The sequence below is a fragment of the Homo sapiens genome, chromosome 16 (genome assembly GCF_000001405.40).
Source record: "Homo sapiens chromosome 16, GRCh38.p14 Primary Assembly".
Lineage (NCBI taxonomy): Eukaryota > Metazoa > Chordata > Mammalia > Primates > Hominidae > Homo > Homo sapiens.
The window spans coordinates 21908994-21929303 of NC_000016.10; the positions used below are offsets into that span (position 1 = coordinate 21908994).

General features: G+C 41.9%; 1 pseudogene; it reads right to left on the bottom strand.

Annotated features, from left to right (window-relative positions):
- The window catches only part of SMG1P4 (SMG1 pseudogene 4), a 36690-nt pseudogene extending 29657 nt beyond the window's left edge, over positions 1-7033 (bottom strand).

The window sequence follows — 20310 nt, forward strand, 5'->3', positions numbered from 1 at the left end:
TAATAGTTAAATACAGAAACTTAAAAGGATAACAGTAATGATTTACATAGAACTTTAATAAGTAACTCTATAAAACAAAACCATCAAAAGGCACTAAGGTTTATGACCAGCTGAGATAAATTTTGGGTACTTGCCAACACTGCAAATCTTTGGGAATCACCATAACAAAAAATGACCACACACCTCTGGAGACTCTAATAGCCAGAGAATATATGGTTTGGATCCACTCTTACCCAAAGAAGGAAATTCCTTTTTACCTCTATTCTCTAAGCAGTTTCAAATTCTCTTGTTTACAAAAACTAATTTTATTCTTCATGCCTGCATCAAGAGTTTATGCCATTCCATAAGTCAAGACTCAGTTATCCAGTGAGACTAGCAAATTAAAAAAATAAAATATTCCAGCCAGGCACGGTGGCTCATGCCTGTAATCCCAACACTTTGGAAGGCTAAGGTGGGTGGATCACCTGAGGTCAGGAGTTCCAGACCAGCCTGGCCAACATGGTGAAACCCTGTCTCTACTAAAAATACAAAAATTAGCTGGCAGTTGTGGTGCACGCCTGTAGTCCCAGCTACTCGGGAGGCTGAGGCAGGAGAATCACTTGAACCCGGGAGGTGGAGGTTGCAGTGAGCTGAGATCGCACCACTGCACTCCAGCCTGGGCGACAGGGTGAGACTCCGGCTCAAAAAATAAATATTCTTTTCAAGTGGATTCCATTTGTATTCAACCGTAATTAACACATAATTAATGCAGATAAAAATGACAAGACCCACTGAAATGTCAATAAATGTTCATAAACAAAGCCAGTGGGTTTGTCTTCTTGTGTATTGTTAAGTAATTTCTAAAAATATATTTTAAAGTCATTTAAACCGAACCATTATTAGTTACTTACCTTTCATTAAGCACATCATGTACAGCAGCCAAGATATCCAATTGTTTAACTAGTACCTTTAAAAGAAAACACATTTATAAAAACTTCAAATTCCTATACTTTTAAGAATAGCATTGTGTACTTTTTTATTTGTCTTCCCTCCAAATTCTAATTCAACAGTACTTTACTTTCTTTATTATTCCCACTCCCCAATGAGCATGTATCAGGAATGTCATGTTTCCTTTCAGCCTATGAAAGAAATTCACCCACTGGAAACATAGAGCTGTGACCATCAACAAAAAAATAAACTCAAAAAGCTTGTTTCATTTACTTTGAAATCCATTTGAAAAATTGACTGACGGATGGAGGGATAGATGGAGAGATATGTGACAAGGCAGTATTTAGGGTAAAATGTTAACGACAAAAATTAGATGATGGGTTTAACAGATTCAATGTCAAATTCTTTCAACTTGCTATATATTTGAAACTACTCATAATAAAATTTGGAAGGAGGAGAAACTTGCTTTGATCCAAGTGTCATCTGCCTCACTAGACCATTTTCATTAATTTTCTCCTGCTCATTGTCAAGTTCTTTTTTTTTTTTTAAGATGGAGTTTCACTCTTTTCGCCCAGGCTGGAGTGCAATGGCGTGATCTCAGCTCACTGCAACCTCCGTCTCCTGGGTTCAAGCGATTCTCCTGCCACAGCCTCCCATGTAGCTGGAATTACGGTCATGTGCCACCACACCCAGCTAATTTTGTATTTTTAGTAGAGATGGGGGCTTCACTATGTTGGGCAGGCTGGTATCGAACTCCTGAACTCAGGTGATCCACCCACCTTGGCCTCCCAAAATGCTGGGATTACATGCATGAGCCACCACACCTGGCCCATATCAAGTTCTTAATTGGTGTAAAGAAAGTGAAGAAAAAAATTTAACCCTTCCTATACTTTGTTACATTTCTGTTGTTGTTTTAAGAGACAAGGACTCCCTCTGTCGCCCAGGTTGACATGCAGAGGTGTGATCATATCTCACTGCAACCCTGAATTCCTGGGCTCAAGTGATTCTTCCACCTCAGCCAGGTGTAGTGGCACATGCCTGAAGTCCCAGCTACTCAGGAGGCCACAGCGGGAGGATAGCTTGAATCCAGGAGTTTGAGACTGCAGTGAGCTATGACTGTGCCACTGCACTCCAGCCTGGGCGACAGAGCAAGATCTTGTCTTTAAGAAGAAAAAGAAATTACATATTAGAGAGCATTAAGTTCTTGATCATCATAATACAGACTTTCCCCATTCTTAAACTACTCAAGGTAGCATTACCTAGTTTATTATGGAAACACAAAAATCCTCATATTTCCAAACATACTATACTTACCAGCTTATTTTCTGGTTGCTGAATAAATTCTTTCAACTGCTTTACAGTAGCCAATCTTCGGTCTCGGTCGTTTTCCCGGGTGATCCTCCGAAGAAGATATGACAGTCGAGACTCATCACAATAAGACATCGATCTCTCTGTGAATATATAAACATTTTGTTGTCCACTGAGTATAAATAAGCAAAGGAAATTTTAAATTTTAAAATAATTTTAAAATTTTTAAAATTAAAAATTATTTAAATAATAATTAAATTATTATGGGGGCTCATGCCTGTAATCCCAGTACTTTGGAAGGTGGGTAGATCACATGAGTTCAGGAGTTTGAGACCAGCCTGGGCAACATGGTGAAACCCTGTCTCCACAGACACACAAAAAATTACATAAACTAGCCAGCCAAGGTGGTGTGCACCTGTAGTCCCAGCTACTCGGGAGGCTGAGGCAGGAGAATCACTGGAGCCCGTGAGGCGGAGGTTGCAGTGAGCCAAGATCACCCCATTGCACTCCAGCCTGGGTGACAGAGCAAGACCCTCTCTCAAAAATAAAATTACATCAAAAGTCACAGTCCACTGGTCAATAAAAGCTCAGGGAATATAGGTCCTATCGCTCTTTTGTTCAACTCTGTATTCCAAATCCCAGCAGAGTGCCTGGCACATAACAGACCCTCAAAAAAATATTTGCTGAAGGAAACAAGAAATGAATAACCCTAGGCCAACTGAACACCTCATTCCAGAGGACTGGCTGGGAGAGAAAAAAGAAAGGCCTTAGTAACAACTTTCTTTGGGTCCATTCCAAACTGTTTTCAACATGCAGGTAAAGAGCCCGGGTGTAGGTAAATTAAACAACTTCCAAGGGGTATGGATAAAGTCTCAATCGAGTAAAAACAGGATATAGGCTTCTACTTATCATCTAGGTATCCCACTGGAGGAAAGCCTCTTATTCACATTATCATCATTTCCCTGGGATGAAGTTTTGGGGAGCCATAATCACACATTTAGTTCAACAAATGTCTAATTATCATCTACCACATGCAAGGCATGCCTCCACTAGAAAGGTAGCAAACCACAACTTTTCTCCCTTTATTTTTTAATCACAAGAACAAGCAAACAATAGTGAATACTATTAGTATATTAACGATGCCTTTAAAAACTAGATTTTTGCTGGGCGAGGTGGCTCTTGCCTGTAATTACCCAGCACTTTGGAAGGCCAAGGCAGGCAGATCACTTGAGCACAGGAGTTCGAGACCAGCCTTGGCAACATGGTACAACCCCATCTCTACGAAAAATACAAAAATTAGCTGGGCACAGTGGCACATGCCTGTAATCCCAGCTACTCAGGAGGCTGAGGTGGGAGGATCGCTTTAGCCTGGGAAGCAAAGGTTGCAGTGAAATCACACTAGCGCATTCCAGCCTGGGTGACAGAGCGAGACTGTCTCAAAAAACAAAACAAAACAAAAAACTCAATTTTTGCAAAACATTTTCAACTGTGCTATTTACCATAATTAGCCAATACATACGTAAACAACAAATCACAAAGGGTCTGACAGTTTCATTTCTAAGGTATGAGAAAAAATTGATAATAAAAGAAACCAGAAGGCTGGGCATGGTGGCTCACACCTGTAATCCCAGCACTTTGGGAGGCCGAGGAGGGCAGATCACGGGGTCAGGAGTTGGAGACCTGCCTGGCCAACATGGTGGAACCTCGTCTCTACTAAAGATACAAAAAATTAGCCGGGCGTGGTGGCACGCTCCTGTAATCCCAGCTACTCGGGAGGCTGAGGCAGGAGAATCACTTTAATCTGGGAGGTGGAGGCTGCAGTGACCTGAGATCGCGCCATTGCACTCCAGCCTGGGTGACAGGGAGATACTCCATCTCATAAATAAATAAATAACTACAAGGGGGAACAACACACACTGGATCCTTTTGGAGGGTGGGGGGTGGGAGGAAGGAGAGGATCAAGAGAAACAACCAATGGGTACCAGGCTTAATACCTGGGTGATAAAATAATCTATACTACAAACCCTCATGACACAAGTTTACCACTGTAACAAATCTGCACTTGTATCCTGAATTTAAGTTAAAAAAAAAAAAAAAAAAAAAAAAGAAACTACAATGACTGAGAGAAGAATAGGATTTTTACAAATCCGTAGCCCATAGAGTATTTCAATAAGGACAGATACCAAATATGTCATCAAGTTACCAGCTGGGAAATTAGGCTCTACTTACAATTCTGTCACTAGCAAACTACATGACCCTGAGCCTTTGAAGAAGAGGAATTCTCTACTGAACTACTTTAGAATCGCTGTTTAGCTTCTATAATATCATAAGTCTAAGGCTTCAAACACTCTATTTTAACAAACAGCATACATAGCCTTTGAATTCATTCCACTTGTGAAAACATAAAAAGAAATCAGTTTTTTAAAAGTTATATACCAACAATAAAAGCTACAGGCACAAAGATTTTCACCAAGATACACGAAGCACACACACAGTATAAAAAATAAAAAAAAAAAGTCAAAAACTAAACGTCCAAAAAGTAATTACATCTGACAAAGCCCATAACTCAGCTTTACCGATAAGTTTCTCTTTAAGGAAAAAAATTATCATTACCTCTAATCCTCTGAACTTTCTTTTTTGTTGTTGTTTTTTTGAGACGGAGTCTCGCTCTGTCGCCCAGGCTGGAGTGCAGTGGCGCACTCAGCTCACTGCAAGCTCTGCCTCCCGGGTTCACACCATTCTCCTGCCTCAGCCTCCCGAGTAGCTGGGACTACAGGCGCCCGCCACCGCGCCCAGCTAATTTTTTGTATTTTCAGTAGAGACAGGGTTTCACCGTGTTAGCCAGGATGGTCTCGATCTCCTGACCTCGTGATCTGCCCGTCTCGGCCTCCCAAAGTGCTGGGATTACAGGCGTGAGCCGCTGCACCCGGCCAATCCTCTGAACTTCCAAGGCACTCACCTATACAGTGAGGCTATGTCATAAGGCAGAAATGCTATCAGTGTATTTAACTTTAGAAAAGTGCCCACTCAAGGCAGGGCCCGGTGGCTCACGCCTGTAATGAGCACGTGTGATCACTTGAGGTCAGGAGTTCGAGACCAGCCTGGCCAACATGGTGAAACCCTGTCTCCACTAAAAATGCAAAAATCAGCTGGGTATGGTGGTATGCACCTGTAATCCCAGCTACTTGGGAGGCTGAGGCATGAGAATCACTTGAACCTGGGAGGCGGAGGTTGCAGTGAGCAGAGATTGCAGCACTGCGCTCCAGCCTGGGTGACAGAGCAAGACTCTGTCTCAAAAAAATATATTGAAAACAACAACAACAAAAAAACCAGAAAAGTACCCACTCTAGGGGGCGGGGGGAAGGAGAGCATCAGCAAGAATAGCTTAATGGATGCTGGGTTTAATACCTAGATGATGAGATGATCTGTGCAGCAAACTACCATGGCACACGTTTACCTACATAACAAACCTGTACATCCTGCACATGTACCCTGAACTTAAAAGAGAGAAAAAAAAAAAAAAAAGACAGAAAAGTACCCCCTCTCTACATATATCTATATCCTCCACAGGCCCAAGAGTTCAAGGACTTGCTGTAGTAGGAGCCTACTATGCACTATACATTCAATATCCACGATAATTGGGTAAACCTTTTCTGTAAGATCTTATCCAGTCTTCTAATCTTGTTTTAAGAGAATTCTCTTTTAAAATGTACTATAGCCTTTCTAGTGGGAAATTAACAATTCACAGGAAAAGAATGTAAACAATTTTTACCTGCACAGTAGACTAATCAACTTATGCCTTTGCAAGGCATTAGTAAGAGGCATCCAGAATAAGAGGAGATACAAGTCTTTGGAAGGTGTATGTGATTGGTCCCCGTTTTCCCAGCCTTACCCTGTGATTTCCTCATGTCTTTGGTGGCTAAAGCACAACTGCCATGCTGAACACTGGTGAACTCAGGGCTGGTCACATTGTTAACCCTCAGCTCTTGCCCCAATGACTTCCGACCATAAGTATTTTCCCCAGATCCCCCATTGACACCGTAGCCACCTACAAACAGCCATGTGTACGTCATTTAAATATGATTGTTCGTTTCATTCAGTCAATTTCCTGATAGCTCAGGATCTTATGACTCAATCTGCAGCTCAACCAGCCTTTGCTTCTCCTACCTTTTTCCTGTACTGTCTGCCTTGAAAATCATTTTCATTTCTTTTAATACACCTTTGAAGTTAAATTAATTTTATTTTGATCCCTTCATTGGAAAATAAGCAAAGAAATGAAAACTAAATTAAATCAAATTTTGCACCTTGTTTTAAAACTTTCTTGAAGTTTAGAGACAGTAGCCAAGAGGAACTTCAACCTTAGCTAAATATTTTTGAAAATAAAAACAAAAATAGTATTGTATCTTTTTTGTAAGAAAACTGCATTGATGAATTATGTATGGAAAAATTTTAAATTTTAAAAATAATAAAGTGGATAAACGTCCTATGAAGTTTTCAGAAATAACACTGCATTTGTTATTCATATTTTAAATATATTAGAAGAAAGTGAGAAAGTTGGGGGTGTAAGAAGGCAGGAAGGTGGGATAGGTAGGTTCAAAAAACATGCTTGTAGCAATAAGAAAATATATATACCCTTTTCGTCATTCTGTATGTCAGCGTGGACTCTGGTATCATCGTGCCTTTGCCGAGACACCACAGCTGAATTTGAAGGTTGCAGTCCGTAAGAGGAAGAACCACCTCTATCTCTGGATGAAGAATATTTTAAATTACCTGGGTCGGCTGATGCACTATCAGTTCTATAAAAAGAGAAAAGTTTAAGATTAGAACTTTAAATAACATAAATAAATCTTTCTTTAAACAAGCCTCTCTTCTCCCAAATTTTACATTTAACCATTACTATTGTATTTAGTGTAATATGCACTATATATTATATGTAAGCACTCAGCCGTCTAATAAGAAGTCTTTCACTGGGAAGAGAGTCTCAATGGATGAAATGCCAACTTTTCACTCTCTTCTACTGTTCTAAAGACCCATTCAGAAATATGAATAACTACTGGGATTAGGGTGACTTTGCTGGTTTTAGCATTGAAAGTCTCCTGTTCCAGGCAAAACAGGACAATTGGTTACTCTGGTCCAGTGTTCTCCTCACATGACTTGATAATAAGAATAATTCTTTCTAATTCTCCCCCATGGAGACGGTTAATCAGTCAAAACATTTCAGCCTTTCCTGTCATAAAAATAAAAAACACTGGCAGCATGTCAGGGACGGGCAATGTCTTACCAAGTTATTTTCTAAGTACTGATTAGGTACTGTAGTATTGAAGACCCCATTGAAGATGCCTTAATTGTAAAGAGTAGCAATCAAAATTTTAAAAAGTAAAAAAGAAGACATTTTAAGAAAATAAAAGGTATCAGAAATGCAATAAAGTTATATCAGAAAGTTGTAGTTCGTAATCTATTTAAAATTCAGGTACTGTTTAGAATAATACCTGATGCTTATTAGTAAACAAGTAGGGTACAGCCAAGGGTAAAAGTGTGTCCTCATCTAAGTATCTGCTCTATGCTTCAACTGCCTCATAAGTAAAACAGAGCTGAGTTACAAGACTTCTCATGAGTGTTACTCTTTCAGCCATCAATCATAAACTATCAAGAAAGAAGACAACAAAATAATCTGTTATAGCATATGAAAAATCCAAGTAAGTTCTTCCCCTACTGATTTTCTCCTGAGAGGAACAATTTTGAGGAAAAGAAAAAGAAAAAGAAAAAGAAAATCACTTCTATGATATTTACTAAAAATGCTTTCTCAACCTTTTAGAACCTGAATCTTTTAGAAAAGTTTAGGACACTGGCAAGGCCAGAAACTAACCTATTCCTCTACGCTTTGCCCCTCCCTCTATGGTGTAAAAGTGACAGCAGTGTTTGTATACTGTATATATTTCGTTTAGAGTTTATTAGTCTTTCCTTGCTCCCAAAAATACTAAACATAAAACTTTGCATGAGCTCAATCAGTTGGACACCTTGATCTGCACTTACTGCAATCACTGTTAATACAGAATGCAGACAATAGGTCCAATTAAACTTGGATATCTAACTGGTACAAGTCATTACTTATAAAGGATCTCAATCTGAAACTTCATGAAATTCAAAACCTAGCATACTAAAATGACTAAGGCTCCATAAGGAGTATCTTCTAATATTCAGAGTTCACTTATTCATAAAGCTAAGTACTTCGAACATAAGGGAAAATAAAATCTATGGAATTTCAAGAAAAATGTATGAGAATATTTTCTGAGTATACTAAGTCTATAAGCATTAAAATATTAACTCAATGGACCATAACTTTTTTAAACTAATGAAAAGACATTCCTTATGTACCTAAAAATAGCACATTTAACATGCGTCTATATAAATCATAGCATACCATTACTTTCTGAAAGGAGACTGAAACGTAAGAGAGCTTATAATCTTTTCTGACAGGGTTTGAACTTTATATGTATGCCACAGTAAGCTCTTATTAGATGAGCGAATAAAATAAGCACTTGACTAATTCAGAAACACAAAGATAACTGAAGTCTGCCAATATTTAAACGTATCTTCACTTCCTGTTTTCATCATGTTTACTTATCTCCTACACTACCTTTACTATTAAGAGTTAAATGTTTGTATCATTTTCTGGTGACACAGTAGTACCATAAGGCAGCAGAGAATACAAGTTAAAAAAAGATCTGGGCTCAAATCCCAGCTCCAGCACTGAAAAGTATGTGTGCTTTTGCACAAATTACTTGATCTCCAAGCCTTGGTTGTCTCTTGCATAAAATGAGGATGATACCTATCTAACATGTAAGGTTGTTGTGAGGCTAAAATAAGATAATGAATTATAAAGAAACACTTAGTTTGCAGGGTATGTTAAAAGTTGTTATGACCATAATACAAAATAAACTCAAAGTTTCCAGTCTAAAAGACAATGTACAAACAGTTCATGAGTATATGAATATAATCAAAACAAGTTTTTACAGTCAATATAGAGCAACTTAAATACTTCACTGAAGAAAGCAGGTAATCTGTTGCTACCAACAATGTGTTTCCAACTAGGAAGCATCTGATTTCAAACTAAACTGTAAAACCAGGAGCAGCTTCCCCGTTGGTTAGAAATAAGGTTTCTAAATCCCCTAAGTTATGAACACTGAGATTTTTTTCCCAAAAAAAATCTGTGTTTTCAGAAATATAACAAAAAAAACTGGAATAGAGCCACCGTCTCAGAAATACCTCAAAACTCCCTAGTTGCCAAATTATTTTAATACAAATTGATCAAAGCATCCCCAACCAGAACTCAGGTTGTAAGCATTCTGAACCTAAAAGCACAAAATGGTTTAGCATTTATAAGAAATTTCTATTTTTATACAATCTTGACTGCTTAGGTTTCAAAAAATGTCAATGTCAGGCTGTTAGCACCAACAAGATCATCCCAGTCCAATAAATAGAGAACTGTTGAAGAACGGAAATGAGCACTTAAAATGAGGCAATCAAAGCCACAAAATAGAAACTGCAGATTTGAACTCCAAGAAGCAGGCATGAATGTTAGGCTAGTTAGTTAGAAGAGCTGAAAGGGATATCATCTGCCAGAATTAGTGTCTCAATTTAGTGAAAAAAGAAAATCTATCTGTTAAGTCTAAGAATCCTAGCAAGGAACCAAAAATACCTCTACAGCCCCTTTAATATTCTAAAAATATCATGGAGAGAAAAAAAAAGAAATGCATAAATTTCCCCAAAACGATCAAACTGAAGTTAAAGCCTGATGTACATGCCACATGAGAGGTAAGTTTCTAAAGCTCATACCTCAAAAATCGCCTTTGTGATGTTGTGCATCAAGTCAATCTGTAAGACAGTAGTTACAATATTAGTGAAGACAGTGGGTTAAAACATTTGTTGTTCAAACATGGAGCAAATATCATTCATGAGTTAGGTGCCTTTAGTTGAACTATGGTCCCATTAGGGTTCATACATTAAAGCAAAAATTGAGGTGGAAAGACACTCTGTGCCTTACAGGATAAAGAGGCTTAATGTGGCAACCAAAAAAATTTTAGTACATAAGAGAATTTAAATGTTAACTATCACATACAAATCACATGCAAATACAGTTACCACTTATTTTAGTTACCTATTCTCAATATACAGAAAAATGCCACAAATCTAGGAGGCCATTCGTTTCAAATGACCGGAATCCTTAGACCTCACACCAACAAGCCACCATGTGCTGGGGATGGTATCGCCTGACTAAATGTAGCCTTGCAGTCCATTCTTGTAAGTATTAGAGAGAAAAAGAGAGAGAGCGTCATCTCTGGAAAGTGTGAAGTCAGGGAATTCCCTACTAGGAAGCATTTCCATAAAGCACCCCAAAATGACTTGATGCAAACACCACACCTAGTGGTGTCACTGGAGTAAGCATCATATTACTTCAAATTGCTTTTACCTAGGTTTATTAAGGGATTTTGCTCTCATGGTGAGATCTAATTTGTAATGGATATAAACCAGGAAATGAGATTTGCACTAAAGCCAATGAAGTAGGAATGTACTTATTCTCTAAAGCAGCAAAGATAGTCTCACTGTCACAGAGCAGTTATAGGATATGTTGCTTTCCATACTAATGGTTAATACCACTTGGAAATGATTTACCCTTCAAAAATAAATTCAAGGTTTTCCCCTGTAATGCCTCTTGCCTGGATTCAAACATGCTTTAATGAGGAATAAGAGAAACGGTGAAACTATGAATAACCCTGGGCCTTGTATCATTACATTAGAAACACTGCTCTAAATATGAGTCTATGGCTAAAATATTAATTTGAGAGGCTCAGGGAATTTATTATACAAATCTCTTCTTGCAGAGAACTTTTAAGTTCAAATTTAATAAAACAAAACAGAACCATTCCATGTCAAAATTGTAAATGAGTATGCATCAGTTTTGCAATACTGAAATATTAAATTAATATAATTTATTGGTAAAACTACCTTAGCTACCTAAGTATTAAGTGTCTATAATAACCAAATCTTAATTATCCATTTATGGGTGATTTGTTTCCTTTTTTGAGACAGGGTCTCACTCTGTCACCCAGGCTGGAGTGCACTGGCATGACCATAGCTCACTGCAGCCTCGACCTCATGGGTGCAGCCTCGACCTCATGGGTTCAGCCTCTCAAACAGCTGGGACCACAGGTGCATGCCACTCCATTTAGCTAATTTTTTATTTTTATGTTTTTTGGAGACAGGTGTCTGATTATGTTGCTCAGGCTGCTCTCAAATTCCTGGACTCAAGCAATCCTCCCACCTCAGCCTCCCAAAATGCTAGGATTAGAAGCATGAGTGACCACATCTGGACTGTCACCAATTTTTAACTGTCTGTCAACTAAACAGCCAATATAGACTGATAAAATATATTTAACTATTGTAAAATTGTAAAGAATTGTATCTTCACCAAGGAGAGGTCTGGCTTTTACCTGTGAATTCTGGAAGGTAATCTCTAAACTCTTGAAATGTCATACCTAATAAGAGGGTCCTGGCCAGGAGCAGTGGCTCACACCTGTAATCCCAGCACTTTGGGAGGCCAAGGCGGGCAGATCGCTTGAGGTCAGGATTCTGAGACCAGCCTGGCCAGCATGGTGAAACCTGTCTCTACTAAAAATACAAAAATTAGCCAGGCATGGTGACGGGCACCTGTAATAATCCCAGCTACTCAGGAGGCTGAGGTTTCAGTGAGCTGAGATCATGCCACTGCACTCCAGCCTGGGCAACAGAGCAAGACTATCTCCAAAAAAAAAGGGGGGGGGGGGCGGCGGTGGGGGAAAGTGTCCTTGTTCATCTGGGGGCTTTAGGCCACAGCACAGTCTAATAATGTGGCTTATGGTGGGGGCTTTGAGTCACATGGATCAGCTTGGCCTCCAGTGGGGCTGGAGACTAAGGTTAGCCACATGGGCATGCAACCATGGAACCCCAGTAAAAACGCTGGACATAAAAAATAGAGTGAGCTTCCCTGGTTGGCAATAATCCATGAGTATGGTCGCACACCAGTGCCACCAGGAAGGTGTCATTTTTCACAACTCTACAGGGACAGGACAATTAGAAACTCCAACATTTGGAACTTCCCCGAACTCTGCCCTATGCACCTCTACCCTTGGCTCGTTCTAATCTGAATCCCTAAACTGCAATAAACTCTAACCATGGGTATGAGAGCTTTCAATGAGTTCTAGTGAGTCCTCCTGGCAAATCATCCAACCTAAGAGTGGTCTTGGCCAGGCACAGTGACTCAAGCCTGTAATCCCAGCACTTCGGGAGGCCCAGGCAGGCGGATCACTTCAGCTCAGGAGTTTGAGACCAGCCTGGCAATATGGTGAAACTGTCTCTAAAAAATATAGAAAAACTAGCCAGGCGAGGTGGTGTGTGCCCACAGATCCAGCAACTCAGGTGGCTGAGGTAGGAGGACTGCCTGAACCTGGGAGGGAGGAGTTCAGGGCGCAGTGAGCCGTGATCATGCCACTGCACTCTCACCGGGGTGACAGAGAGAGGCCCTGTCTCAAAAAAAAAAAAGAGTGGTCTTGGGAACCCCCAAACTTGCAACTAGTATTAGAAGCAAGGGTCATCTTATGGACTGGACTCCCTCTTACTCTGCACTCATATTTAAAACCATTAAATATACTGTAGCTCAAAAAAAGTTGCTTGTTTGTTTTGAAAAAGGGTCTCACACTGTCGCCCAGGCTAGAGTGCAGTGGTGCAATCCGAGCTCAAGCAAACCTCCCACATCAGCCTCCCAAGTAGTTGAGACCACAGGCTTACTCCACCACGCCCAGCAACTTTTGTATTTTTTTGTCCCATTCTCTACAACATTCCCAAAATGTTGCCCAAGCTGGTCTCGCACTCCTGAGCTCAAGTGATCCACTCACCTCAGCCTCCCAAAGGGTTGGGATTACAGGCATAAGCCACTGCACCCGGCCATAAATTTTGTTTTTTAATAACATTTCCAGCAAACATGATAAAGATTTGACTTCAGTGTTGCTTATTTTCCTTCCAAGGAACCTCTAATATTCTCTACTTTCAGAACTCCAATCAAATTAGCCAGAAAGAGCAAACGAAGCCAATAAATCCAGGAGGGCAATAGATCTGATTTTAACCCTTGTTTCACATGCACAATTGTCTTCAGAGAAAAGCTGAAGAAAGTACCCCCTCACCTCCATGCCCCAATGCTCCTTTTCTCTGACTTCAAGTGGGCCTCTGATGCTGCCCACATTTCCCTCACCAGGTTTCTTTCCTTTCCAAAACATCTGTAAAACTTTCTGCACCTTTTTCCTTCTCCCACCACTACCAGTGGATGACCTTATAGATTTCTGCTCCATGAGAAACAGAAGCCATTTGACAGCACCCTCAGCAAGAGCTAACATTTTAGCTCCTAACAAGAGCTAGTGGGCAACTGATCCAAGCAGTTTACATATGTTTATCATGTCATTTCGTGTTCAACACAATCCTATTAGTTATAACTTGATAACTAAGGTTTCATAACTGGCCTATGGTTGCACAGCTTGCAAAAGGCAGAGTCAGAACTCAGACCCAGTACTGTCTAATGTTTGAGCTCTTCAACACTCCATCACTGCCTGTCATCTTCCTTCTAATATATCCACAAATTCACCTGCATCTGCACATACAGCTTTTCTTCCCATCATCTTCGCATAATGGAACAAATAAACCTCCTATCCATAGAAATCATCTGTCTATTCCCCCCATTTTCCAAGGTATGTCTTGTCTTTTTTTTTTTGCGATGTAGTCTCGCTCTGTCGCCCAGGCTGAAGTGCAGTGGCGTGATCTCGACTCGCTGCCTCCCGGATTCACGCCATTCTCCTGCCTCAGCCTCCCGAGTAGCTGGGACTACAGGCGCCCACCACCACGCCCGGCTAATTTTTTGTATTTTTAGTAGAGACGGGGTTTCACCATGTTAGCCAGGATGGTCTCGATCTCCTGACCTCGTGATCCGCCCACCTTGGCCTCCCCAAAGTGCTGGGATTACAGGCTTGAGCCACTGCACCCGGCCTGTTTCTTTTGTACGTTGCAAAATCTCCCATTTTACTACTGCTTATCACATCATCAACATATGAGCACTCTCAAAAGTCTTACTTTAAAAAAAACAAAAACAAAAACAAAAAATGGCCGGGCACGGTGGCTCATGCCTGTAATCCCAGCACTTTGGGAGGCGAAGGCAGGCAGATCATAAGGTCAGGAGATTGAGACCACCCTGGCCAACACGGTGAAACCCCGTCTCTACTAAAATAGAAAAAATAAAATTACCTGTGCGTGGTGGCACGCACCTGTAGTCCCAGCTACTTGGGAGGCTGAGGCAGGGGAATCATTTGAACCCGGGAGGCAGAGCTTGCAGTGAGCCAAGATCGTGCCACTACACTCCAGCCTGGTGACAGAGCGAGACTCCGTCTCAAAAAAAAAAACTAAAGGCCGGGTGCGGTGGCTCACGCTGGTAATCCCAGCACTTTGGGAGGCCAAGGTGGGTGGATCATGAGGTCAGGAGTTCAAGACCAGCCTGCCCAATGTAGTGAAACCCCGTCTCTACTAAATATACAAATATCAGCCAGGCGTGGTGGCGGGCGCCTGCAATCCCAGCTACTCAGGAGGCTGAGGCAGGAGAATCGCTCGAATCCGGGAGGCAGAGGTTGCAGTGAGCCGAGATTGCACCATTGCGCTTCAGCCTGGGCGGCAGAGAGACTCCATCTCAAAAATAATCATAATAATAATAAAATAAATTTAAAAATTAAGAAAATAAGGCCGGGCACGGTGGCTCACGCCTGTAATCCCAGCACTTTGGGAGGGCGAGGCAGGCAGATCATGAGGTCAGGAGTTTGAGACCAGCCTGGGCAACATAGTGAAACCCCGTCTCTACTAAAAATACAAAAAATTAGCCGGGTGTGGTGGTGGGCGCCTGTATTCCCAGCTAGTTGGGAGGCTGAGGCAGGAGAACTACTTGAACCCCGGAGGCGGAGGTTGCAGTGAGCCGAGGTCACGCCATTGCACTCCAGACCGGGCAACAGTGTGAGACTCTGACTCAAAAAAAACAAAAAACAAAAAAACCCTTTAACTGCCTTTCTCCCTCTATCAATCTAATAGCCTGGACTCTTCACAGACAAACCTGTTGAAAAATTTATCTTCCTTGCCTTCATTTACTTTTTAACCCACTTTAATCTGGGTTCCACCTGCAACACACCACTGAAGCTATTCCTACTAAGGTAGGAACTGCCACTCAAGGCCTTCTTGGCTCTAAAATCCCATGAGCCTTTTTCAGTTCACCCTACAATTTCTCAATACCACTCTAAAGTTTATGAGTTTTTTAGTTAACTTTAATCCAGTGACTCTTTCTACTTTATCCCAATCCAAGTATTCTCCTCCTTCTTCACTTCATTTTTTTTTTTTTTTTTTGAGACAGACTCTGACTTTGTTGCCCAGGCTGGAGTATAGTGGTGCAATACTGGCTCACTGCAACCTCCACCTCCAGGTTCAAGCGATTCTCCTGCCTCAGCCTCCCAAGTAGCTGAGATTACAGGCCCCTGCTACCACACCCGGCTAATTTTTGTATTTTTAGTAGAGACGGGGTTTCACCATGTTGGCCAGGCTGGTCTCGAACTCCTGACCTCAAGGGATCCACCCGCCTCGGCCTCCCAAAGTGTTGGAATTACAGGCGTGAGCCAACGTGCCCGGCCCCTTCTTCACTTCTTTAACCAGCTTAGATTTCATTGTGTATCATTTCAACAACACTCTTGCCTATACCCTTAACTCTTAAGATTCTCATCACACCCATCTGGCAAAACCCCAATCCTGGATAAACCCAACGATCCATCAATAAGCACCACACTCCCAGGTCCTCCAGTGTTTACTTCCCATTCTATACATGCACTATCCAGACATTCCCATTCTCTTCAAATTCCAAAATATCCTATCACCTCCCCTCCCCATACACACATTCTACTTCACCAACAAGAAAAAAGGTACCAGCTGGGCACAGTGGCTCACGCCTGTAATCCCCGCACTTTGGGAGGCCAAGGCGGGTGGATCACTTGATGTCAGGAGTTGGACACCAGCCTGGCCAAAATGGTGAAACCTCATCTCTACTAAAAATACAAAAATTAGCTGGGTGTGGTGGTGCGCACCTGTAATCTCAGCTACATGGGAGACTGAGGCAGGAGAATCGCTTGAACCCAGGAGGTGGAGGTTGCAGTGAGCCAAGACTGCACCACTGCACTCCAGAGCCTGGGCAATAATAAGAGCGAAACTCCGTCTCGGGGTGGGGTGAGGAAGATACCATAAAATACCTGTACCCGATTCTAGACCTTACTGAGGATTCCATCTACTTCCACCTTACTGTAGCTTTTCAAATACTTTTCCCACTGAACTAAATCCCCCCCATAAACATGCAACACTTTCTAATGTATTCCATTGAAAAATACAAAAACATATAAAAAGGAAAAACTCCATCAATCCCACACGTCCCTCCATCAAACAATCTGCCTTTACTTGCTGCAGCCAAACTAAAGTTGTCTAGATTCCCCTCTCCCATTTCTTCACTTCTTCTAGCTCCTTAACACACACTGGTCCAATTTCTGCCCCATCACTCTTGGCAAAATCCATTATGACCTCCAGGCTGCTAAATCCAAGATACAGTTCAGGCCTCAATCTGCTCATCCTTTCAGCAGCTTTCACAGGGCTTCTGAGTAGGGTTGAGCAGTTTTGCCCTGCACACAGGTGCCCTGCAGAGGAATGAGGTGGGCTGAATGAAACTCCTTTTTTAAAAATTCTTGGCTGGCATAGTGGCTCACGCCTGTAATCCCAGCACTTTGGGAGGCTGAGGCGGACGGATCACTTGAGGTCAGGAGTTCAAGGTCAGCCTGGCCAATATGGCAAAACCCCATCTGTTAAAAATACAAAAATTAGCTGGCCGTGGTGGCGGGCACCTGTAATCCCAGCTACTCGGGAGGCTGAGGCAGGAGAATCACTTGAACCCAGGAGGCAGAGGTTTCAGTGAGCCGAGACTGCCCCACTGCACTCCAGCCTGGGCAACAAGAGAGAAACTCCATCTCAAAAAAAAAAATTGTTTATGCCAACTAATTGTACACCTAAATGCACCAAGTTCCTGACTTTCTCCTTGCATTTATTTATTTATTTATTTATTTATTTATTTATTTATTAGGTCTCACTCTATGTTGCCCACGTTGTAGTGCAGTGTGTGATTACAGCTCACTGCAGCCTTGAACTCCTGGGCTCAAGAGATTCCTCTGGTCTTAGCCTCCCCAGTAGCTAGAACTACAGGTATGGAGTGGCTCTCTGCCTTTATTTCTAACCCAAGCTACCTTACAACCTTAAAAAGAGACGCTGCTTCGCCGGGCACAGTGGCTCTCACCTGTAATCCCAGCACTTTGGGAGGCCGAGGCGGGCGGATCACGAGGTCAGGAGATCGAGACCATCCTGGCTAACACGGTGAAACCCTATCTCTACTAAAAATACAAAAAATTAGCCAGGCGTGGTGGCGGGCACCTGCAATCCCAGCTACTCGGGAGGCTGAGGCAGGAGAATGGCGTGAACCCAGGAGGTGGAGCTGGCAGTGAGCCGAGATTGCACCACTGCACTCTAGCCTGGGCGACAGAGTGACACTCCATCCTAAAAAAAAAAAAAAAAATTTATTATATACATACACACACACACACACACACACACACACACACATACACACACACACACACACATCTCCCCAGAAGCATCAATATTTACTGAATTAGAGTATTTCATTACCTGTTATAAAAAACAAACAAAAAAACCTTCCATTATACTAATTTATAAAGGAATCAAAACAAAATGGGTTGGCGGGTCCAGGCACGGTGTCTCACTTCTGTAATCCCAGCACTTTGAGAAGCCAAGGTGGGAACTCGAGGTCAGGAGTTCGAGACCAGCCTGGCCAACATGGCGAAACCCTGTCTCTAATACAAAAATTAGACGGGCCTGGTGACATGCGCCTGTAGTCCCAGCTACTCGGGAGGCAGAGGCACATGAATCACTTGAACCCAGGAGTGGAGGTTGTACTGAGCCAAGATCGTGCCACTGCACTCCACCCTGGGAGACAGAGTGAAACTATGTCTTTAAAAAAAAAGGCGGGGTGCAGTGGCACACACCTGTAATCCCAGCACTTTGGGAGGCCGAGGCAGGTGGATCACCTGAGGTCAGGAGTTCACGACCAGCCTAACATGGTGAAACCCCATCTCTACTAAATATAAAAAAATTAGCCGGGTGTGGTGGCACATGCCTGTAATCTGATCTACTTGGGAGGCTGAGACAGGAAAACAGCTTGTACCTGGGAGGCGGAGGATGCAGTGAGCCGAGATTGCACCATTGCGCTCCAGCCTGGACAACAAGAGCAAAACTCTGTCTCAAAAAAAAAAAAAAAAAAAAAAAAAAAAAAAAAAGTTGGGGTGAGGGGAAGGTTCAACTTAAAGATACAATTACTAAGTGTTTCATAAGGAATGACTTATTTCATAATGGAGTAGGAGTTTGACACCAGCATGGGCAACATGGGGAGGCCCCATCTCTACAAAAAAGTAAAAATAAAAAATTAGCGTGCCAAGCATGGTGGGTCACACCTGTAATCCTGGCACTTTGGGAGGCCAAGGAGGAAGGATCACTTGAGCCTAGGTATTCAAGACCAGCCCAGGCAGCATGGCAAAACCCCGTCTCTACAGAAAACAAAAAAAAAATAAAGTAGCTGGGGGTGGTAACATGCACCTGTGGTCCCAGCTATTGGGAGGGTGAGGTAGGAGGACTTATTGAGCCTGGGAGGTGGAGGCTGCAGTGAGCTGAGATGGTTCCACTGCACTCCAACCTGGGCAATGGAGCGAGACTCTGTTTCAGAAAAAGAGAGAGGAAGCCAGGCGTGGTGGCTCACGCCTGTAATCCCAGCACTTTGGGAGGCCGAAGCGGGTGGATCACCTGAGGTCAGCAGTTCAAGACCAGCCTGGCCAACATGGTGAAATCCCATCTCCACTAAAAACACAAAAATTAGCCGGGCATAGTGGCATGCACCTGTATTCCCAGCTACTTGGGAGGCTGAGACAGGAGAATCACTTGAACCAGGAGGCGGAGGTTGCAAGTGAGCTGAGATTGTGCCACTATACTCCAGCCTGGGCGACAAAGTAAAGCTCTGTCTCAAAAAAAAAAGAGAGAGAGAGAGGAAAAATAAATTAGCCAGGTGTGGTGGTATGCACCTGTGGTCCCAGCTACTCAGGAGGCTAAGGCGGGAGGATTCCCAGAGCCCAGGAAGTCAAGGCTGCAGTGAGCAGTGATTGCACCACTGCACTCCAGCCTGGGCAACAGAGCAAGAGCATATCTCAAAAAAGAGGAAAGAAAAGAAAAGAAAAACATAAAAACAAATGTTCCTTTAGTTTTAATTTTTATTTTTTAGTTTATTATGGCTGTTTTACTCTCCCCCAAGTAAAACAGCCATACACAATTTGCTGAAATTTTCCTTAGTGTACTTTGAAATCTGTGGAACAGAACTGGCAATCGCTAAATTCTATTTGACTCTAGTTCCATTTAATATTAGACTGGTGTGGAAGTAACTGCGGTTTTTGCCAAAACCGCAATTACTTTTGCACCTACCTAATAGGTATAAAATATGTAACTTCACTTAATTTTATCCTTTATGTATCTCCCTATATTATGTACCTATGGACATCAAACTTAGTACAGACTGATAAAAGGCTGAATAGACAACTCTGGTTTCAAAAATCCAGCTTCTCACAACATCAGACATACTAGTATACAGCTTTTCTAATTTCACAACACATTTCCATTTTTTGGTCTTTCACAATAGAGAAGATGTGTGTACTTTTGAATACTCTGATCTGTCTACAATCTACCAAAATTGGAAGGTGTTTTTATTATACAGTTTCATCCTTTTAGAAATATAGAAAGATCCTAAGTTTGGGCACAGTAAGACACTCAATATAGATCTACTACTAAACAAGTAAGACCAATTACACAATTAATGTC